This window comes from Homo sapiens, chromosome 3, assembly GCF_000001405.40.
Source record: "Homo sapiens chromosome 3, GRCh38.p14 Primary Assembly".
NCBI classification, from domain to species: domain Eukaryota; kingdom Metazoa; phylum Chordata; class Mammalia; order Primates; family Hominidae; genus Homo; species Homo sapiens.
The window spans coordinates 126,658,847-126,674,236 of NC_000003.12; the positions used below are offsets into that span (position 1 = coordinate 126,658,847).

At 51.2% G+C, this 15,390-nt stretch overlaps 2 pseudogenes across 1 annotated transcript, besides 2 other annotated features; one reads left to right on the top strand and one right to left on the bottom strand.

Annotated features, from left to right (window-relative positions):
- Positions 1,140–1,434: a silencer, noted in NCBI's record as "tiled region #1093; K562 Repressive non-DNase unmatched - State 13:Ctcf". NCBI's record gives its function as "represses a minimal TATA promoter and a strong SV40 promoter by Sharpr-MPRA in K562 cells {active_cell/tissue: K562}" and the evidence as "EXISTENCE:reporter gene assay evidence [ECO:0000049][PMID:27701403]".
- NUP210P1 (nucleoporin 210 pseudogene 1) lies at positions 3,235–13,093 on the top strand (annotated as a pseudogene). The gene is made up of 5 exons (NR_034158.1): positions 3,235–3,373; positions 4,484–4,663; positions 7,375–7,455; positions 8,260–8,502; positions 12,861–13,093. The product of NR_034158.1 is annotated as a nucleoporin 210 pseudogene 1 (transcript).
- Positions 12,863–12,942: a silencer, noted in NCBI's record as "silent region_14679". NCBI's record gives its function as "represses an Ori minimal core promoter by ATAC-STARR-seq in GM12878 lymphoblastoid cells {active_cell/tissue: GM12878}" and the evidence as "EXISTENCE:reporter gene assay evidence [ECO:0000049][PMID:35858748]".
- SF3A2P1 (SF3A2 pseudogene 1) lies at positions 13,198–14,469 on the bottom strand (annotated as a pseudogene).

The window sequence follows — 15,390 nt, forward strand, 5'->3', positions numbered from 1 at the left end:
TAAGCAATAAGGCAAGCTTCATGCAGTCCATCATAAATAGACATGTCACGTGTGTGAATGCCTATCCTGTGCAGCATGAGAGGGTGATTGTGAATGCACTTTTTTAGGGGAGAAACTCCTGAAGGCAGAATCCCTAAAAGTGGATAAATGGCCAGGCGCAGTGGCTTGTGTCTGTAATCCCAGCACTTTGGGAGGCTGAGGTGGGTGGATCAGGAGGTCAGGAGATTGAGACCATCCTGGCTAACACAGTGAAAGCCCATCTCTGCTAAAAATACAAAAAAAAATCAGCCGGGCATGGTGGCACACACCTGTAGTCCCAGCTACTCAGGAGGCTGAGGCAGGAGAATTGCTTGAACCTGGGAGATGGAGGTTGCAGTGATCTGAGATCGCGCCACTGCGCTCCAGCCTGGGCGACAGAGGAGACTCCGTCTCAAAAAACAAAGTGTGTAAACAGAAAAGGATTAAAGTGAGGGCTCTTAGGCCAGAGTGGGTGGATTGCCCGAGCTCAGTAGTTCAAGACCAGCCTGGGCAACACGGTGAAACCCTGTTTCTACTAAAATACAAAAAATTAACTGGGCGTGGTCCCAGCTACTCGGGAGGCTGGGGCAGGAGAATTGCTTGAACCCGGGAGGCAGCAGTTGCAGTGAGCCGAGATCGTGCCACTGGACTCCAGCCTGGGTGAAAGAGCAAGACTGCATCTCCAAAAAAAATAAAAAATAAAAAATAATGGGGCTCTTGCCTTGAGCCCAGGAGTTCGAGGTTGCAGTGTGCTGTGATGATCCCACTGCACTCCAGCCTGAGTGATGGAGCTAGATCCTGTCTCTAAAAAAATGAAATAAAAAAATAAAAACAAGGATCTATTCTAGCCACAGTGGCATACACCTGTCATCCCAGCTGCTGCTCTGGAGGCTGAGTTGGGAGGATGGCTTGAGTCCAGGAGTTTGAGGCTGCAGTGAGCTATGGTCCTACCACTGCACTCCAGCCTCAGAGACAGAGCAAGACCCTGTCTCTTAAAAAAATAATAAATAAATGTTAAAAGGGTCTTTGGCAGTGAAAAGGCTGGAAAACTCTAGCTCTGGTTTGTTCATTCACTCACACCTTAGCAGTCAGTGCTTCACACAGAGCTGGGGCTGTTGATCAGACACAGAGTTGAGCGAGATGCACGGAGCTCACACTGGGGTGGCCTTGCAGGCTGCTCCCAGGTTCTGTGATTCAGTCCGTTCTGATTGGGACTTCTCAGGGAGAGCTGCCGCTGAAAAGTAGCTGTCTCGTTTTCTGCCAGTCCCTGTCTTGCAGTTTCACAGAAGACCTCACGGGGTGCTTCTCTACCGCCAGGGCTGCAGCGGCAGGTGGCCAGCTCAGGACGTGGCATCCTGGGACTGCATTCTCACTCTGTCCCCAAGTTCCTGCACATCCCAAGGTTGCTGACTGCCCCTCTTTGATCAGCTTCCATTTTCTTCCCTTTGTAAAATGTGCAAATTGGAGATCAATGTTCGGTGAGATCTAGCTGAGCACTGACATGTTATATCCCAATCCCTGCTCCTGGCCAGCAGTGGGGCTTGTGATGAGAGGTGGGCAGGGCACTATTTGGGGTAGGATTTCCCTTGTCCACTGCTTTCTAGTGCTGGCCTGGAGGGCTCTGCCAGTGAGGTGATAGGCTGGTGCTGAGGGTGAGGCATTGCTCACGGACCTGAGCAGAGGGGGGGCTCTGCAGCCACGTAATCCACCACCCACCCCTCTACCCCAGCCCCGAACCTTGCAGGTATACCCTTTGCTCCCTGGCTCGACCAGCATCATGACCTATGACTTGTGCCTCATCTTCCCGGCCCTGGCCAAGGCTGTCGTTTACGTGTCAGACATTCAGGAGCTGTACATCTGTGTGATTGATAAGGTCAGTGGAAGCTTCATGATGGGGCCCCCTCAGCAGACCTGCAGGAACGGAGAGTGAGGCGGCTGTGGGATGTTTCCTATGGCCTTCACTTTTGCTCCTGGGGTCTGCATCCCTTCCCCTGTGAGCTTGCAAAGCTGTCTTCTATCTCCTTCGCTCTATGTTAAGGATGCAGAGTCCCTCCAGTAAGGAACTTCTTCATCCCAGGTGACATCCCCATGAGGCTTGGCAGTAAATCCTGCTGGAAGTTGCCTCTAAATTAGCTGTGACCTGGGAATTCTTGTCTTTTAGCTGGTGTAGGTTATTAACCAGCCAGGCACATGTCTTGCTGAGCATGGATTTCCCCCTGAAAATACAGGTTTTGGGTTCTCTGGAGTTTCAGTGACAAATGAGTACAGCTCACCCACGCCAAGCACCATTGCAAAAAAGGAAAAGGAATAGATCTCGTTTTATCTTTCACGTCAATAGCGAAATTTTATTACTCCAAATATCTGAGGTGACTGAAGCTGGGCTTCCAGAGGGTTGTGGTCGGGATCCTGAGTGGATAGAAGGGCTGGTAATTAAAAGGGCATCTTAGGCTCCTTAAGAAGCTAATATGCTCTATCCAGCCTCACATACTCCTCCTATAATCTCATTTCCACTGCTGTTTGCTAATTTTCTGTTTCTTCACTGTGTATTTCTGACTCTCATTTCCTAAGGTTCTTATCATATTCTACACTGCCAGGTGTGAGCTATTCAGTCAGTGAGCATTTACTGAACTCCTACTGGATGCCTGCTGCTGTTCTAAGCAGTGTCTCATCTCCCTAATTAGTGTATTGTTATTTAAGAGTAGGGAGTGGAACTTATGCCTGTAAGTATCCCCAGCCACCCTCCCCTGACCCACCCCTTGGAATAAGCGCTTCATCAATTTTCATTTGCTGACTGGCTGATAGTCCAGAGGTAAACCTGGGTGACTCATCCCTGATTCCCAGGTCTGTGGGTTGAGGTTGGTGATGCTATTAGTATCTCAGAAAGTCATGGGGCACCATAGATGGTGAGATTGGTCTCTCAGAGGCCATCCCTGAGCCTCTGTCTGCACGATGCAGGCGGAGATTGGGAAGACAGTGAAGGCAAACATCCGCATGCTGGACTTGCACAAGAATCCCCTTCTGGCCAAATACTTCCCATTCATGGACCTGAAGCTCCGAGCAGCTTCCCCAATTGTCACATTGGTGTGAGTCCTCCTGATGGTCACCTCCTCCAGCAGAGATGTCACAAAGGCAACTCCTGAAGTAGGTGATTCCTGGACAAGGGGAGCTCTGAGGTCACTCATGGGCTCATTATGTGGTGTGGGGCTGTCTCGGGGTGTTAGGTTATGACAGGAGCAGCACTGCAGCCACAAGCCATGGCAGTCGTGGCCCGGGGATCATTCCAAGTCTATTTACAGCAGCAACATTAAACCAGCCCTGCCAACATCCTCCCTGTGCTTGGGCCACGCTGGGGCTGGTGAGCATCATTAATCTGTGATCTGAAGCACGTGGGTACTGTCTGTGCCTCTAGATGGACTCGCACCTTTCTTCTGGCAATAAGAAATTTGTTTCTGACCAGCAATAGCACAGCACTGCAGAGACCAATCCTCCCACACAAGCAGTGCCCTGGATGCCTCCTGTGTTCACTCACCTTCTCCTGCCAGGAGTGCACTTGGGGGGGATGCAGGAGGAGCAGGTGGGGGCTTCACCGCCTCCACAGCATGGCACCGGCATCCCTGGTCTCCTCCTGGGCTAGTCCTTGTTGCTGAGCTCCTTGATCCTCATCTGAAAAGTTTTGAGAGCACTGACAAGAACGATTCTAAGGTGTTTTTCAGCAGAAATTGGGAGAAATTTAGGGAAGGAGGTAACCTTCGAAAAAGGAGTTGGGGAGTCCTAAAGGCAGTGGATGGCAAAGCTTGACCCACACCAGCATCTCCAGAGGGCATGTTAGGACACAGATGCAGGGCTGCCTCTGGCTCCATGGGCCGGGGTGGCTGGAGGGTATGCATTGCTAGTCAGCGACCACACACTGAGAATTGCTGATCCAAGGGGAAGGCTCAGCTGCATGAAAGGTCCTTGTTTTCATGGTGTTTAGCATCTGGGGAAGTGGAGCACAGTCACAAACAGCAGAACATGCCCCAGAGAACCAGAGAGCCTCGGCCAGTGGCTGGGAGGCAGCCCCCAGGACCCTGGGGCCCACAGGTCACTGCTCACATAGGGGTGATGTTCGTGCCCTGAGTTTTCCTCTCATGAAACATGTGGTGTGTAAGTCATGGGTTCAGGGCACAGCAGTTCCTTCTCTCCTCTGTCTCAACCGGTTTTTCCTCCACTCGGGCTGATTCTCAGGAACGCGACACTGCTTATCCGGGTCATGATGCAGGTGAAAGCTGAGAAGCCACATCATGCTCCAGCCCCAGTGTGCCCACTGCACAGCAGCCGCAGCTCCTGGTGCACTGCCTCTGTCCTAGCACGAGGTGACTGTGTAGAGGTGGAAGCCATCAGCACTGAGGCCCTGGCTCCATCTGGGGGAGGCACAGGCTGCCTGGCACAGTAGGCACTGATGCACTGCTATTTCCTCCCCACTCAGGTCACCTCTGAGGGCAGCCCCCAGCCTCAGTCCAACATCCTTTTCTCCATCAGCAACTAGAACGTTGCACTGGTGAGCGCTTCCAGGCTGGTACCAGGTCTCACCATGGGGAAGGGCACTGTGTCTGGGCTTGTGCAGGTGGTGGATGCAGAGACTGGCAAGGTGGTCATCATCTCTCAGGTAACAGACGTGCTATTGGAGACTGGCACTATCTGAACTCCCCAGGACAGCCAGCTGTGGTGATGGGCCACTGCTTCCCAGGGCAGCTGTGCCCGAGACAAAGGCCTCTTTACTGTGTTTGGGTTCTACCTCTGAGGACCACCTCTCTCCAAGGGTGCTGCTTCTGCCCCCTGGGTCTGCAGTCCCTGCCAGGGCCCCCTGTGCAGGACAGCCCTGCTGACTTGGGAGCACCCAGACCCCCAGAGGCTGCTCTTCTCCAGGCTGAGTCTCCCAGTCTTTCCAGCTGCTCCTTACGGGACAGGGTCTTCAGCAACCCCCGGCCCCAAAGGGCCCTTCCAGTGGAGGATGATGGCAATCGTGGTGAGGGCAGGCGCCGCTCCGCACACTTTGCCTTCATGTCCTTCAGTCCTCTCGGTGCCCTGTGCATTTTCCTGCTGTCCCCCTTTGATGATGGGAGACTGAGGGACTAGCTAGCAGACCACAGTCACCATGTGCCAGTTCTGGGATTGGGCCCAGGGCTGCCCAGCATCAGAGCTCTCGGGCCTTTTGTTGGTCACTTGAAGCTGGGCTTGAGCATGTGCTGATAGCAGAGAAGGGGTGCTGTGGGCTGAGAGTGCCTTCTGGGTGCATTGTATGTCTCCGGAGTAGTGTGGTGTATGTGTGGTGAATTAAAAAATTGTACTTCAGCCCTGGATTTGTATTTCCAGGTGGAGAGAAAAACCTGGGTCATCTGCTAGCATCTTCTACACCAGCAGAGGTTAAGTCATCTTCCCAGTCTCTGTGCAGGGTGGGGGACTTTCCTAATTGCTTTTCTGGGCTGGCAGTGAAGGTAGGAGGCCAAGTTAGGGCCGTCTTCTCCCCAGAGGGTCTCCCTGCCCCACATTGGTGGGACTGATTCAAGCAGGTGAAAGTCGGTGTCTGGAGAGTCTGACAACTTCCCCGCGTTGTGAGGCGTGGGTCTCCTTTGGTCCTCTGGAGAGGAGGTGAGACCATTTCCACCTTCTGACGAAGGCTCAGGGCTAAAATTGGGGCCTTTGCATTCTTCGTGACCTCCTTCGCCAGCAGTGACTTGCAGAATCATCTCAGGGAAGGCTGCTTTGGAGTTCCACTCACAGCTGGACCAGAAACTTGGTCTGTAAGAAGAGCCTTCTGTGATGTTTAATGCAACTGTGGACAGAAACCTGTTTCAGAATCAGTCATCCCATTCCTCATGAGAACTAGGTCCCCTGGAAGCAGTCCATGCAGTCCTGAGTTCAGAGCCTGTAAACACAGAGCCCAGGGAGCTGGCGAGTGCACCGCCCTAGAGGGGGCGCAGGGAAGTCCTTGTTTTCAGAGGCTGACTTTGATCCATCATTGAGTTCAGTGATTTACTCCTTTTCCCAGCATTTTCCGTGCCTGCCCAAGTATCCTTGTTAAGCCACAAAGTCTGAATCACAGAGGTGGATGCCCAGATCCAGTGTGTGTCAATTTCCAAGACAAAGAAAAAGTCTTGGGGATGTTAAAATCTGTCCTGGGGACGTGGCAGGGTTCAGATTGGCTTCCCAGAGCATCACATTCAGTACTGTGACTTACAGACAGGAGGCCTGTGGTTTTTTTGTGTTTGTTTGTTTTGTTTTGTTTTGTTTCTCTAAAAAGGATTGCAGCCTCAGGAACTGGCTCATTTTCCAGTAGCTAAAAGGGCAGCTGGCTGGAAATTCAGCCAGAGGGACACAGGGCACTGAGTATCCCTCCTCTTTGTTGTCTGACTTTGCTGGCATTCTCCCCTCTGGGTCCACCATCTGACAGGTTGGGGAGGTGCTGGGGAAAGGCCCTGGTGGCCCTTGGCAGGTGGAGGGGCTGCATCACCATCCCCATCTGAAAGGCATCTTCTTGAGCCCAGGCAGGCAGGGGCTTCGCCGGCAGCCCCTGTGTCCTTGCCTGGAATGTGATTCTGGTCAGATGCTTCCAGTTCCATCTGTCCAATCCAGTTCACACAACCAGCACCCCAAGGCCGTGGGGTGGGCCAGGACTAGCAGGAGGAGACTGAGCAGAAGGATAAGTGAAAGGAGGGGAATGGGTGCTTATCAAGCACCTACTGTGTGCCAGGCATTAGCCCAAGTCATGAGGCACAGAATGTGGGCTCAGCATGAGCGCGTGGCAAAGAGTCTAAGAGGTTTAATCATGTCAGTTCCACATGAGTCAGCAGCACTAGAAAGAAGCCAGGAGAGTTAGTCTTTGGCCAGATTAATAGGAGTATAGAGTTGAGCATGAAGGAGGTTATAAGGTCTGCTCTAATCAGACTCCACTGGACTCCTGCATTTGTCCCTGTACTCTGCTTAGTCAGACACAGGCAAGCTGGATTTGGGTTTGGGAGGGTCTGAAGACCTGTCGCTTGAGGGCAGCCTGGCCTAGGGAAGAGCAGACCCCAGTCCCTGGCCCCAAGTCTGAAGTGCTGACCCGAAGCAGCTGGATGAGATAGGGTGGCAGCCTCAGAGCACTGGGCTGGGACCTGCGGGGCCGTGGGAGAGGAAGTGGCTGGCCCATGTGGGGTGAACCGCCCACAAAACCAGGCCTCTCTTGGCAGAGGAGCACGGTGCTAGGCATCCTGAGGGGCCTTCTCGCCACAGCCTCTTAGCCGCAGCCTCCTTCCCTTGAGAGGTCCCTTCCAGAAACATCCCCGGCCAGCACAGCATTCTGGTGCCCTGCACCTGAGCACCATGCTCTTTCCCCAGGACCTCGTTCAGGTGAAGGTGCTGCTGCTTGGAGCCGTGAGGATCCGCAGCCCCATCATGCAGATAAGGATGGGCACCCAGGTGAGGGGACCTCCTGGGCTCTGAATCCTGGTTCCCAAAGAGCCGCTGCTATAACCCTGTCCTCGAGCTACAGTGCTTCTCCACCTCCTCCATCTGCCCAGCCTGGGTATCTAGGGGTGCAGTGGCAGCTTCCCACCCACCCCTACCCAGACTGACACCCTCTTGCAGCCACTGATGAAGGCCTGCTTCCTGCTAGCCTGTCACCTTCCCACACCTCAGATAGCACCAGGCGCCTAACAGGAGCACCATGACCGTGGCACTTACTCCACTCCATGCTGTCTCGGACATTAATCTGTTTGGTGTTCATAGCAGCCCTGGGAGGCTGGTGTCAGAACCATCTCCATGTTGCAGATGAACAAATGAATGCACAGAAAGCTTAAGACTCATCCCAGGGCCACACAGCTAGGAAGTGGCAGCACTGGCAGTGGACTGGGCAGCCCGGTGTGGCACCTGCTGTGGCCTTTTGCCTTCTCGCCTCCAAGTGTGCCCTCAGCAGACTCTCAGCAAATAGAGACTGAAGGAGCCAGGGACCCCACCCGTGGGTGCTCTGTGAGCAGGGACCCCGGCTAGATTAGGAGAGAGGGGCCCGGAGGAACCAGCACTGTGGGGCAGGGCAAGCTGTGCTGCTGGGGGACACATAGCCTCCTAGAGCTCCAGGGACTCCTTCCAAAAATGGGTCTCTTGGCCATGGGGAGGCGCAGCCAGCGGCAGGGGAGGCACAGTGTGGGGAAAACAGTCCCGCCTCTCGTTTAACTGTTTGGTATTTCATCAAAATTCCCAAACTTGTGCCATGTCCTTCTCTAGCTGGGGAAGAATTGGATACATCTCCCACTGCTTGAAGGAGGCAGCACAGCTTCTGGGGGCATTCCCAGTGCTGGCACCCCGCTGGTCACCAGGCCTGACTTCTCCCCACCGATGTCCATCTATATCACCTGGATCACCAACCACCAGAACCCTTTCTCCTTTGGCAATGCCATGCCAGGCCTGACCTTCCACTGGTCTGTCACCAAGCGGGACATCCTGGATCTCCAAGGGCAGCATCACAAGGTAGGTAACCACCCGCCCAGAGCCCATCTCCCACCCCTGTCCCAGGCCAGCACCCCGAGGGGCAGGGAGGGTTCCTGCCACATTGTCCCACAGGAAGTCCCACCTTCATACCCAGAGAGGCCCTTTCTGGCCTCTCCCAAGGCTCAATGGGACTCCCTTCTCCCAAACGCTAACCACACAGACAGGGTGGGTAGGTTCCTCTCCTAACAGAAGTGGCCATGTGGGGAAGTCACAAAAGTCCTGGGAGGTCAGAATCTGTAGCTTCTGACCATTTTCTGAGATGATGTCTAGCAGCCCCCAGTTTCTCCTGGTTTATCCCAGAGGCCAAACTCCCCTTCCCTTAGCCCTGTGAGAGGCCCTGGCTCCTCCTGAGATGTCAGAGCTAGAAGGTGCCAGGGAGAATCTACTAAGTCCCTCTTTGTGTTAACCAAGGCCAGAAACGGGAAGGGACTTGACCAGGGTTGCCCAGCAAGCCAGTGGGGAAATGGGACTGGGCACCAGCCCCTGTAACTCCAGGCTCAAGCCCAGGTGGGCCTTGGGCACACAGGACCCAAGCCGGGGATGGGTTGAAAGGTTGCTTCCTGCCCACTCCAGAGACAGCGGGGATAGAGGCTAGGGGAGAGGCCCAGGCCCAGGAACGGGCTTTCCCAAAGGCTGCCCGAAGCTCATCTAGAGTAGGACGAATGCCTCCCCACCCAACTCAGTGGGAACAGGGTCCTGTCCCCAGTGCCTGGGGACTCTCCTAGATTGCTCTAATGGAACACAGGCAGTGAGACTTGTTAACAGGTATCCCAAAACAAAGCAGTTGCGGGGACACACTGCAAAACCCAGCATTGCTCTGGGGACCTACACACACTGAAGGCTGTGGGACATCCTGTCGTGAAGACCCCTGGCTTGCGCGGGTTGGCCCAGTGTTTTCCAGATGCACATTGTGAGATGCAAGCAGGGCGGGGCCTGTGTGCCTTTGCTGAGGGTATCATGTCTGTGAGACCCAGCCCTGAGAAGCTCTCAGTCTTCGGGGGGGGTGACAGCAGCTCATTGCAGTGGGATGGGCATCCATGTGCGTTGGGTGCTGTGGGAGCCCAGAGCTGGGGCCGAACGAAGGCTTCACAGAGGAGTCGTGTTTCAGGATGGGAGGGACTGGCAAAGGCCTGGAGGTGGGAACTCACTTGATGTGTTGCAAAAGTAGCAAGGAATTCTGAACTTAGGGTCTGGGGTGCCCCTTCACACAGGGAGAGTCTGGCACTCACTGTGTCCCAGTGGCCATTAATATAATCATCTGTGTTTATTTAACAAACATGCACAGAACACCCAACAGAGGCTGAGGCGCCCTTGCGCACTTTCCAATATTGCCTTGTCCAGTCCTCAAGTGAAGCCTGCGGGGCAGGGGCCGCAGGGGCTGCTGCCTGCTGATGCCCCTGAGGTGGGGAGGAGCTGGGAGGGAGGGAGTCAGACCAGTTTCCTCTTGGACAATCACATGTTAGTTCAGATGATATTAGCCATGGGCCCAGGACCCAGGCCCGAGGGGTGTCCACCTGGTCTGATCAGAGGCCAGTGGGGAGCTCAGGGAACAGTTTTACCTGCCAGCGAGTGACTGCCCCTGAGCCAGGCTGGGAGGCCGAGGAGGCAGCAGCCCTGAGGGGCCTGAGAGAGGGGACTTACACAGGTGGTGGACACATCAGAGGTCTTGCAGAGAAGGGGCCTGGAGTTCCCAGGTAAGTGCTATCGCCACAGGCTTGGGGAGTCACCAGGGCCTTGGAGAACCTGGGCGTCCCAGGATCAGATCTGAGCTGATGTCATGAGGCTGATCATCTGCTGGACTGAGCTCCTCGCCAGGCCCCTGTGTGTGTATATGTGGATCCTGCAAGAACGTGGCCAGACAGAGCCAGCTAGAGGAGCCTGGGAGGTGGAACCGGGTTTGTTCTGAGATGGTGGCAGTGAGGAGCAGGATATCTCTGTGAGAGGAAGGAGCAGTTAGGTGGTGCCTTGCCCAGGCTCAGTCCTGGCACAGTTACCCTGAGGAAGATCCTGGTGCTGGAGTTGTACATGCTGCCCTCTGAGCTCACATCCTGGCAGGTAAAATTTTCCCTCACTGGGCACGGAGGGAGAGGCCTGTGTTTCCAGGCTCCTTGAAGGAACTCCCATTAGGCTGCACAAACATGAGCCTGCCTGCCTTTTCTCATCATATCTTTGACCTCTTCTTTTTTTTTTTTTTTTTTTTTTTCCGCAGGGTCTTGCTCTATTGCCCAGGCTGGGGCATAGTGGCGTGATCACAGCTCATTGCACCCTTGAACTCCTGGTCTTAAGTGATCCTCCCAGCTCAGCCTCCCAAATAGCTGGGACTACAGGTTTGTGCCATCATACTTGGCTATTCTTTAAATTTTTTGTAGAGACGGGATCTCACTATTTTGCCTCATGCTGATCTCAAACTCCTGGCCTCAAGTGATCCTCCCATCTCAGCCTCCCAAAGTGTTAGGATTACAGGTGTGAACCACTGCACCTGACCTCTACCTATTGTTAGTTATTTGTGTCTTTCCTCTTTATATCTACATCAGTTTTTACCATAGAGTTGTCTATATTACTGATCCTTTTCAAAGGAAGTTTTTTATTTGATTGATCAAATTCACTTTTGCTTTCTAATTCACAAATTTATACTTTTACCTTTGTTAGTTCCTTTGTTTTATTTTCTTGGAGTCATTTTGCATTTTTTCCTATTCCTTAAATTGAATATTCAACTTATCTCCTGTTTCCTTTTATAAAATAAACATTAACTCAAAAATAATACATGCTCGTCTTTTTTTCAAATAACTCAAGCAACATATAAAAGTTGAAGGGTTGGGAGGCCAAGGTAGGTGGATCACCTGAGGTCAGGAGTTCGAGACCAGCCTGGTCAATATGGCAAAACCCCGTCTCTACTAAAAATACAAAAAAAAATTAACCAGGCATAGTGGCAGTGGCCTATAATCCCAACTACTCTGGAGGCTGAGGCAAGAGAATCGCTTGAACCTGGGATGTGGAGGTTTCAGTGAGCTGAGATCACACCAGTGCACTCCACCCTGGGCGACAGAGCAGGACTCCATCTCAAAAAAAAAAAAAAAAAAGTTGAAGGAGACAAAGCAAAATATAAGATAATGATCATCTCAGAGTCTTGCAATAATGATTTATTGTCAATGTATGATGATCTTTATTCCAGATATCTCTCTAAACATTTAAATAGATAGGATATAGAGAGAAACTATTTTACAAAATATGGTCATGCTAATTATAAAATAAAACATAAATGAAATTTTAAGAAAAAAGGCTAAAGTAAAACTGTAGGAATTATTTATTCAAAATTTTCAGACTACTTTTTTTTTCAAAAAAGATGTTAGTTCCTCAAAGATCTCTTTTAAAAAACATGATTATGAAACAATGAAATTAAAGTCATTATTATTAACAAGTTCCAATTTTCAACTGTATGTTTTCACTTCCTGGTAAGAAAAATAAAGAAATTAGAACACTTATACTTTCTCCTACCTCTCCTCCTTCTCACTCATGATTTTGTACATTTTATCATTTTTTTTTTTACATTGTCAGCCTCTATAATATTAGTATTCTGCTTGGTAACCATACTTCTCACAATTTAGTCTTACTTATTTAAGTGAATATTTAAGTAGATTTGATGTCAAACACTAACCTTCTCATGGCTTTTGCATTTATGAATTTTAATATTTTAATCACTTCTTTGTTGCTTTGTTTGAATTGTTCCAAGTAAATTTTTTTCAAAAAGGATCATGGTTGTTGTCTGCCCTGAGCTTTTTCATGCTTGAGAAGGTCTGCCTGTTACATACATATATATGAACAGTTTAGCTAACTGTAACATTCTTGTTCATACTTTCATTCTGAGTTTGTAGATTTCCCTCTCTCTCTTCTGGAATGGGGTGTAGATATGGACAATTCTGAGAACAAGTTCCCACCTAGTATTGTGTATTAGCTATTTATTGCTGCAGAACAGTTTTTCCCAAAACTGGGCAGCTAAAAACAACACATACTTACTATCCCACAGTTTCTGTGGGTCAGAAATCTGGAAACAGGTTAGCTAGATGATTACGGCTTGGAGTCTCTGTGAGGTTGCGGCTAAGCTGACGAATGGGGCTGCAGCTACCTGAGGCTCACCCAGGGCTGATGGATTTTCTTCCAGGCCCACTCAAGTCCTTGTGACATGGGCTTTTTGAAGGTTTTGATGGCAAGTTACTCCCTTGATGAGTGACTGGAGAGAGAGAGAGAGAACTCATGCTAGAATCCACATCTTTTTATAACCTAACTTCAGAAATGACATACCGTCACTGTCACTTCCTGCTGTCTTCTGTCACCTACAGATGAGCCATTAAGTCCAGCCCACATTCAAGGGGAGAGGAAGTAAGCATCACCTCAGGCACAGAAGAACAGAAAGAAGTTGTGTGCATATCTTTAAGACAACCACATACCAGGAACTGCTTTTTTTTGGTATAGAAACTATCTTTTTAAAAATTTACCCTTGACATTTGGAAACTTCATCCAGCTATGTCTGATTTGCAAATTCAGGTATATCTTTAAAATAATTTTCTTTGATTACATCTTCACATATTGTTTTCATTTTACTTATTCTTTCTTCTTTTTCAGGAAAATGAATTATATGTTGGATTTCCTTTAGTTTCATATTTAATATATCTGTAATTCTCTCCATGGAAAAGGCAGGAGCACCTGGGGCAGGGCTTGCTTGGGGAGGGAGAAGCTTCTCAGTTGGTTGGGGGAGGGGGACGTATGTTCCCTGCGCCTTTGGAGGGGAGGGGGGCCTCAGCATTGGAGGCATGGGAGTTGGGGGGTGTACCCAGGATTTGAGGGGTAAACTCCAGGAGGCTGAAGATGGACCCCAGGAACTGACGGATGGACCCCAGGAGATTGGGGGTGGACCCCCAGGGCCTGAGGTTACATCCCTGGGTCTGGTGGGTGCATTCCCAGGGTGAATGTGAATGGCAGGGGCTGCTGGGTGCACCCCTGGGGCCTGGGGGTGAACCCCCACTGATAGGGGAGGATGGACCCCTGGGGCTGGTGGGTGAACCCCATGAGCTGGTGGGTGGACTCCGGGGGCTGATGGGTGAACCCCGGGGGCTGGAGGATGGACCCCAGATGTGGGATTGCACCACTGGGGCTGGGGGGCGGACCCCTGGAGCTGGTGGGGGCAGCTGAGGTGGTCCCAGGGGCCCTGAGGGTGCAGGCCCTGTGGGGGACATGGGTGGCAGAGGCAGACCTCCTGGAAGGGGCAGTGGCAAAGACTCAGACAGCGGCGGCCAAGGGGGCAGATCGTTCATCAGCAGGGGTGGAGGTCGCTTCACCCCAGGGGTCCAGTGGAGAGGCTGGGGCTTCTCCATCTTAAAGTGGAACTGGAGGAAGAACTGCTTGGTCTCCTGGTTCCAGTGTGTCCAGAATGTGCCTTCCACCTTGTTGATCTCCCTGCTCGGCACCTTGAAGGTGATGGTCTCGTAGGGCTCGGCAGCCATCAGCAAGTCATGCCAGCACTGGTCCAGGGGCTTGATCCTCTGTTCGTATGCAGACATGAAGCAGTGGCACAGCATGATGCCACCTCCTTAGCCTCCTTGGCTGCTCGCCAGGCCAGGTTGGTCTGGTGCTTCTTCCCCTGGGTATGTGCCAGATAGCTCCCCTTCTTGTTGAGAAGCATCAGGCAGCACTTGCATTCTTAGGGGCCCAGGTGGTTTTTCATTAAGTATGGGTCCTTATTGATGTCGATGGTCTCCAGGGCCAGCTGCCAGAGGTGTTCCCTGCGGTCATGATTGCTCTCAGAGGAGGCCATGCCCCTGCTCCTGGTCTTGCCCCCAGTGCGATGCTGGAAGTCCATGGTGACAGCCTTGGGCTTTAGCAGACTGGGAGACACCAGAGCCTGAGGCCGCGCTATGGCCTCCTCGATCACTGCCACGACTTTGTTTGGCGCGCCTGTAGTAATTTGTTATAGCAGACTGGACTAAGCCTGTCCTCAATACCTTTCACCAAATCTGTTATCTCCTTGGCCCCAGGCAGGCATCTAACCTTAGTTCTCAAAATTCAAGAGGTTAACAGTCATCAAGCTTGTATATTATGAGCCTTTGCATGCTGGAGCTCAGTTGTCATTGCTTCTTCTCCCGTCCTCACCCTCTGTAGTCTCCTCTGCCAGAGGCTGGATCATTGAGAGTGAGACCATATTTCCCATTCAGCTTCTCCCACTTCCTGGGTATTCCTTGTTTTTCTCTGCATCCTGCTCTTGCCCTTAGAGCTGGTTGATCCATCACAGAACCACTGGATGGGCCTTTCAGAACCATGACACAGTTCTTAGGAAAATCTGTGTTCTAATTAAGATAAAAAGAAGCACAAGCTCTAAGACCAGACACCCTGGCTTCGAAATCCAGCTCCACTACTCACTAGTTGGTTGTCTTAGCCAATGTTTGTATAAGACTAATACCTTGTTAAACTCCTACCTTAAAGTTTTGGTATGAATTTTAAATGAGCTAATTCACATAAACTGCTTAGGACAGCATCTGGCCTATGGTAAGCACTCAAGTATTTGGATAATATCTCATTATTTATTCCTCTTAACAGCCCTATAAAGTGGAGATTAATGTCTCCATCTCACAGATGAGGAAAGCAAGGATGAGGAACAGAATGTGATTTGTCCAAAGTCACAAAAATGGTAAGGAGGATAACTGAGACTTAAATCCTGGCTCATTTACCTCTGGTGATAGTACTTTTTCCAGAATGAACACTGTACAATATTGTATTGGTTTTGGTGGATTTTGAGGGAAGGAAGAAAATAGAATTGACTTTACTTCATCATCTTTAACTACAAGTTCTTTTTTCTTTTTGTGCCCATGATAAATA